This window comes from Homo sapiens, chromosome 10 (genome assembly GCF_000001405.40).
Source record: "Homo sapiens chromosome 10, GRCh38.p14 Primary Assembly".
Lineage (NCBI taxonomy): Eukaryota > Metazoa > Chordata > Mammalia > Primates > Hominidae > Homo > Homo sapiens.
Window position 1 is genome coordinate 99,555,377 of NC_000010.11, and position 6,589 is coordinate 99,561,965.

Genomic DNA, 6,589 nt, shown 5'->3' on the forward strand with positions numbered 1-6,589 from the left:
TCCCATTTGGGAACAGTGCATGGCGGTCCTTCGTCACAAGCACAGTGTCAACCGTGGAAACCCTCACGCGTGTCCACGAGCCCAACACCCTGGGAATGTCGCCTCTCCTAATTCCCCTGTCACTCATCCTCCAGTCCTGCTCAGCCTGTTCCATTCTCGATGGCCCCTCACCCAGTGCTTGTTTTCAGCACTTGCAGAAACAAAGCAAGCCCTAAATACAACGGCCAACTGGCAAGTGATGAGTGATGAGCGATGAGCCTCCTGGCTCTAAAAGGCTGAAATGAGGGGGCCTTTCAGTGTTAAGTGCAGTAACCCTAGCCCTCAGCTCGCTGTAACTCTAGATGGGGGTGGTCTGGGACTGGGCATGGCCCAGGCAGCATGAACAGGCCTGGAGATCCTCAGCCGGACCGCAAGAAAAGAGAATACTTCTCTGCAGTCAATCGAAAGCATGAAATTAATGCCCAAATGGAGGTAAATTAGATGCACTGAAATGACACGAGAAGAAAAATGCCTTCCTTACTAAGGGCAGGCTCTCTGCAGGAAATGGGAGGCAGGCTCGGTGACCACACTTAGTCTCCTTTTTGATGCTCACCTAAAGTGAGATATTGCTTTTACAGAGAGATTCTTATTCTTTTTTTTTTTTTCCTTGTTCCTCTGCCTAATATCTGACCGCTTCGGACAAGTAACTTAACCTCTCTGAACCACAGTTTCCTCATCGATAAAGTGAGTCATACTCTGCACCTCAAAGGGCTGTGGTGAGATGTAAATGAGCTGAAGGATTTAAAAAATTGCCTGGCTCATAGGAGGCTTTCTGTAATGTTAATGGACTCTGAATCTAGGTGTTTTGCTCTAAACTAAAAGCAAGTTTCTATTTCAGAAGTATGAAGCACTGGAGAAATGCAGTCAGCTCTCAGATGTCTGTGGTCTACAGTATAATAGCAAATATATGTTCACTTAAACTGTGCTCTAGAGGAGGTCAGCCCTTTAATCTGAGGTTGTACATAATACGGAAGTGATCAGCTAGCATTTAGTCAAACATTCACTGCTACTACATGGCCTTTTGTTGTCTCCCATTAGCACCACAGCATTGTAATGAGCATAATAAATATATTGGATGGGGATTCACTGGGGAAAAGATGTGTGTTAATAAGCCCAGTTAGAAATGAGTGCTAAGCATTAAAAATCAATGGTATCCAGACCGGGCACAGTGGCTCACACCTGTAATCCCAGCACTTTGGAAAGCCAAGGTGAGAGGATTGCTTGAGCCCAGGAGTTTGAGACCAGCCTGGGCAACATAGTGAGACCCTGTCTTTACAAAAATTTAAAAATTAGCTGGGCATGGTGGTGTATACTTGTGGTCCCAGCTACTTGGGAGGCTGGAGTGGGAGAATCACATGAGCCCAGGAAGTCAAGGCTGCAGTGAGATGTGGTCTTGACACTGCACTACAGCCCGGGTGATAGAGCGAGGCCCTATCTCAAAAACAAACAGGCTTGGCACGGTGGCTCATGCCTGTAATCCAGCACTTTGGGAGGCCGAGGCGGGCAGATCACGAGGTCAGGAGATCGAGACCATCCTGGCTAATACAGTGAAACCCTGTCTCCACTAAAAATACAAAAAGTTTGCCGGCCGTGGTGGCACGCACCAATAGTCACAGCTACTTGGGAGGCTAAGGCAGGAGAATCGCTTGAACCTGGGAGGCAGAGGTTACAGTGAGCTGAGATTGCGCCACTGTACTCCAGCCTGGGCGACACAGCGAGACTCCATCAAAAAAAAAAAAAGAAAGAAAAAGCCCCATGACTCAGTGGTATCCAAGATATGCAAGTTGGCTGGAATAGTTTGCAGTCACTCTCTGCCCTTTCATGATAAGAAAAAAGAATCTGCTGGGCCCTATCTATTTCACCTTTCTGGGTGGTACCTGAGGCTAGATTCTGAAATGTTCCCAAGTCCAGCCATGAGGCCAAGGGAATCAAGTTGCCCAAAGCCTTAGGTTAACCTAATCCTGCCTCCAGATTATGGAGTCCCCCTCAAGCAGACCTTTCATGCAGGGCATGTTTGGAGCACGCAGAAGGACAGAGCTGTAATCAGCTTTCAAAACAGATTATTTTTGTGTGAATTGGCTGATAAAAGTGTGTCTTTTGTCTACAAAATGTGGCAGAATTTGACTCAAAACTTGTGTGATGTGAAGTTGTAGGAGGAGTAGATAGCTTTCAGCAACCCATAATGTTTGCCAGCTACCTATATCTACCAAAAAAACCTAATAGTTTCGACATAATTAAATGTGTTTAGCTCAATTGGAAATAGCTACTATTAATATATGATAGGCTAAAGTGCTTTATTTACATTACTTGGTTTAATCCTCAGAACAAATCTGTGAGGTAAGTCCTGTTATTATTTCTTTCTTTTTTTTTTTTTTTTTTTTTTTTTTTGATGGACTGAGGTGCCCAGGCTGGAGTGCAGTGGCACAATCTCAGCTCACTGCAACCTCTGCCTCCCGAATTCAAGCAATTCTCTTGCCTCAGCCTCCCAAATAGATGGGACTACAGGTGCCTGCCACCACGCCCAGCTAATTTTTGTATTTTTAGTAGAAATTGGGTTTCACCATGTTGGCCAAGCTGGTCTCAAACTCCTGACCTCAAGTGATCTGTCCGCCATGGCCTCCCAAAGTGCTGGATTACAGGCGTGAGCCACCACACCCAGCCTCCTTTTTTTTTTTTTTTAACCAGGGAAAAGGAGGCTCAGAAATCTTAAAGCATTACCCAGGATCACACAGCCTTTAAGCAGTGGGTCAGTATTTGAACCCAGGACTGGCAAAACCCCAGACCCTTTAGCTTAATCACTACCTACTACTGCCTGAGAGTATTTGAGGGTTTAAATTTGAGGCTGGGCACAGTGGCTAACACCTGTAATTCCAGCACTTTGGGAGGCTGAGGCAAGCAGATCACCTGAGGTCAGGAGTTCGAAACCAGTCTGGCCAACGTGGCGAAACCCCGTCTCTGCTAATAATACAAAAATTAGCTGGACATGGTTGTGGGTGCGTGTAATCCCAGCTACTCAGGAGGCTGAGGCACAAGAATCGCTTAAACCTGGGAGGTGGAGGTTGCTGTGAGCCAAGATCGTGCCACTGGACTCCGGCCTGGGTGACAGAGCAAGACTCCGTTTAAAATAAATAAATACATAAATAAATAAACATAAATTTGAATAATGTTTCCTCAGGGTTTGTCTATAGTCTAGCTCTGCTGACAGCTATGCCGGCTTCATCTGAAGGCTCATCTGCTAAGAAACAGCCGCCTTCACACTGAGAGGATGCCCACGGAGATGTCTCTCTCATGGATTCTGCCAGCACCCTCTCTGGACTCTCCCTTCTCACCAGTTTCTTCTTGTTTCCTCCTTCATCCTTTATATTGTCTCTGAGGATCTCTGTGTTGGAACACCCAGTCCCCTGCCAGGAGACTACATCAATATACAAGGTCCCAGATGTGGTTCTGCGGCCTGGCTTGAGTGCAGCCCAGGTTGGGCACTCACACAGGGCGTGACCCACACCACATCTGGACCGCTCCAGTCCCTCAGGACTCTTTCTTCTTATTGACCAGACTGTGTTGTCTTGTCATTTCCTCCACGGGTCCTATTTCTGCTCACTGGAGTCACTCAGAAGCCCAGTCCCTCTGTCCCATGACAGCCCTCCAGGTGTGTTAGGATGGATTCATGTGTCCCTATTTGTGCTCCCTTAGGAAGGACCGAGGGTGTCTGAGGTCTTGAGATGTCACTTGGGCTCTCCCCAGTCCCTGCAGGTCTCCCCACTGGAGGCTTTGGAAGCTGAGACTCTGGCTTTGTAGGAATTTGTCCCATCCTCCAGGCAAACAAGTGTTTCTGACCAACTTTCCAAAGTCAAGGAGGAAGCTGGTGAAGCCTTCTCCCCTTTTATTATTATCTTTATTGAGGTGTAACTTAAATACAATTATTTATGAAGCTCTTTTTTTGTCTTTAAACATCTTCGAGATACAGTTCACATACCATAATCTTCACCCTTTTAAATTGTGTAAAATTCAGTGATTGCTAGTATATTTATAGATTTGTGCAATCATTACTACTATGTAATTCCAGAATATTTTCTTTTTTTAACTTTTTTTTTTTTTAAGACAGGGTCACACTCTGTCACCCAGGCTGAGTGCAGTGGCGTGATCTCAGCTCACTACAACCTCTGCCTGCCATGCTCAGGTGATCCTCCCAACTCAGCATCCCAAGTAGCTGGGACCACAGGCATGCACCATCACACCCAGCTAATTTTTTGTAGAGATGAGGTTTTGCTCTTTTGACCAGGCTGGTCTTGAACTCCTGAGCTCAAGCAATCTGCCCACTTTGGCCTCCCAAAATGTTGGGATTACAGGCATAAGCGTGCGCCCGGCCCAGAATATTTCCATCACTCCAAAAAGAAACCCCATATTCTTTAGCAGTTACTCCCCATTCACCCTTTCCTCAGCCTCCTGGCAACCATAAATCTACTTTTTCTTCCTTTTTTTTTTTTTTTTTTTTTTTTTTTTTTGAGACAGGGTCTCACTTTGTCATCAAAGCTGGAGTGCAGTAGTGGACCAATCATGGCTCACCGCAGCCTTGAATTCCTGAGCCCAAGTGATCCTCTCACCTCAGCCTCCCGAGTAGCTGGGACAACAGATGTGCTCCACTATGCCTAGCTAATTGATTTATTTTCATTTTTGTACAGTCAGGGTCTCACTGTGTCCCCAGGCTGGTCTTGTACTCCTGGCCTCAAGGGATCCTCCCACCATAGCCTCCCAAAGTAGTGGGATTACTGGCGTGAGCCACCACGCCGGCCCCACAGTTATTTTCTAATATATATCTCTGCTTCCCGCTTGCCACAGCAGAGAACTCAAGTAAGGTGGTGTGGATTTTCTTTCCAAAAATCTTACTATTTCTTTTCCATTATGTAATTATGTGCTTACACATTGAGAGGAACTATGGTTTAAGAGCCCGTGGCCTTGGAAAAGTCACTTAATCTCTCTAAGCCACCGTTCCATCACCCATTAAATGAGAATAGTAATAATAACACCAACGATAATAAAACCTAACTGTCAGTGTTGTACGGAGGAACACAGTATGATATGTAAGCATTACAGAAGTGCAGCTCTCACTCTTCATGAGTGAAAGTACTGCCAACATCCAGATTACCACGAGAAATAGAGTTGATCGGAATATTTTCAAAATTCTCCGCATTCCAGCCAACTGTCATGAATTAGTAAGGGCTGAGCACTGACCCCTCCACCAGCCTATTCCCTCGCTTTTTCTGGGAATCCTTAATGACTTGAACATTGTAGAGAACAACCACTAGGGGGCGCACTTTCATCACTGGAATGCCTGGGTACCATTTCCCCAGTTTCTTACCAGTACATTTTCCCACCAAACCTAAGTGTTAGGGAAGCTTGCAGGTGGAGGGAAACCCACAGTCACAGGCTCACAGTTCCACCCTTTTATGGACCTCCTCTTACTTGCCTCCTTCCCTTCTCTCTGTCTTAACTGGTGGTATCAGTTCACCTCTCTTGTAGTAGCAGAGCTTCACTAAACTTAGCCAGATATTTCCAGAAAGGAACATTTTTTTTTTTCCTTTGTGCACTGTGCGGATAAATGCTGTTTGTTGTTTCAAAGTATTGACCAGGCTGCTGTGGAGAACTCTTTGGTTCGAAGGACCGTTTTCCTTGCTTTGACCCAACTCAGAGCGGCTCCCAAGATCAGAAACAGTCTCCTTGTTACACTTTCTCAATCTACCAACTTCTTAAATGGTAGATTTAAGACCATTGACTTTGGTGGTTTAAGACCAAAAGGTTGGTGGTTTAAGACCATTCCTTTTTTTAAAAAGCTTTTCATGTGGGGGTGTGGGATGTATGTCGAACTTTCTCAATCTTCTATGGATGATACTTGTAGCCAAATCCTTTGCTTTGGTTCTCAGACTGAGAAGGCTCCCCACTGCTTCTCTTCCTGCTGATAAGACCTCTAAAGAGCAACAATTCTCAAATTTTAGTATAAATAAGAATAATATGGGAGTTCACGTCAAAAGAGCAGATTCTGCCACTTCATACTCATCAGGATGGCTATTATATATTTTTAAAAAAACAGAAAATAACAAGTATTGGTGAGGATATAGAGAAATTGAACTCTTGTGCATTGCTGGTGGGAATGTAAAACAATGCAGCCACTGAGGAAAGCAGTATGGTGTTTCCTCAAACAATTAAACATATAATTACCATATGATCTAGCAATTCCATTTCTAGGTATATACCCAAAAGCATTGAAAGGAGGGACTCGAACAGATATTTGTATATCTGTGTTCATAGCAGCATTATTTACAATAGCCAAAAGGTAGAAGCAACTCAATGTCTACCAACAGCTGGATAGATAAGCAGAATCTGGTATATGCATACAATGGAATATTATTAAGCCTTAAAAAGGAATGGAATTCCAATACGTGCTACAACATGAATGAACCCTGAAAATATTATTCTAGGTGAAATCAGCCAGACTCAAAAGGACAAATATTGTATGATTCTACTTTTTTATTTTTAAATTTTTGTTTTTATTTAT

General features: G+C 44.4%; 1 annotated feature.

Annotated features, from left to right (window-relative positions):
• Window positions 807-966: an enhancer, noted in NCBI's record as "active region_3871". NCBI's record gives its function as "activates an Ori minimal core promoter by ATAC-STARR-seq in GM12878 lymphoblastoid cells {active_cell/tissue: GM12878}" and the evidence as "EXISTENCE:reporter gene assay evidence [ECO:0000049][PMID:35858748]".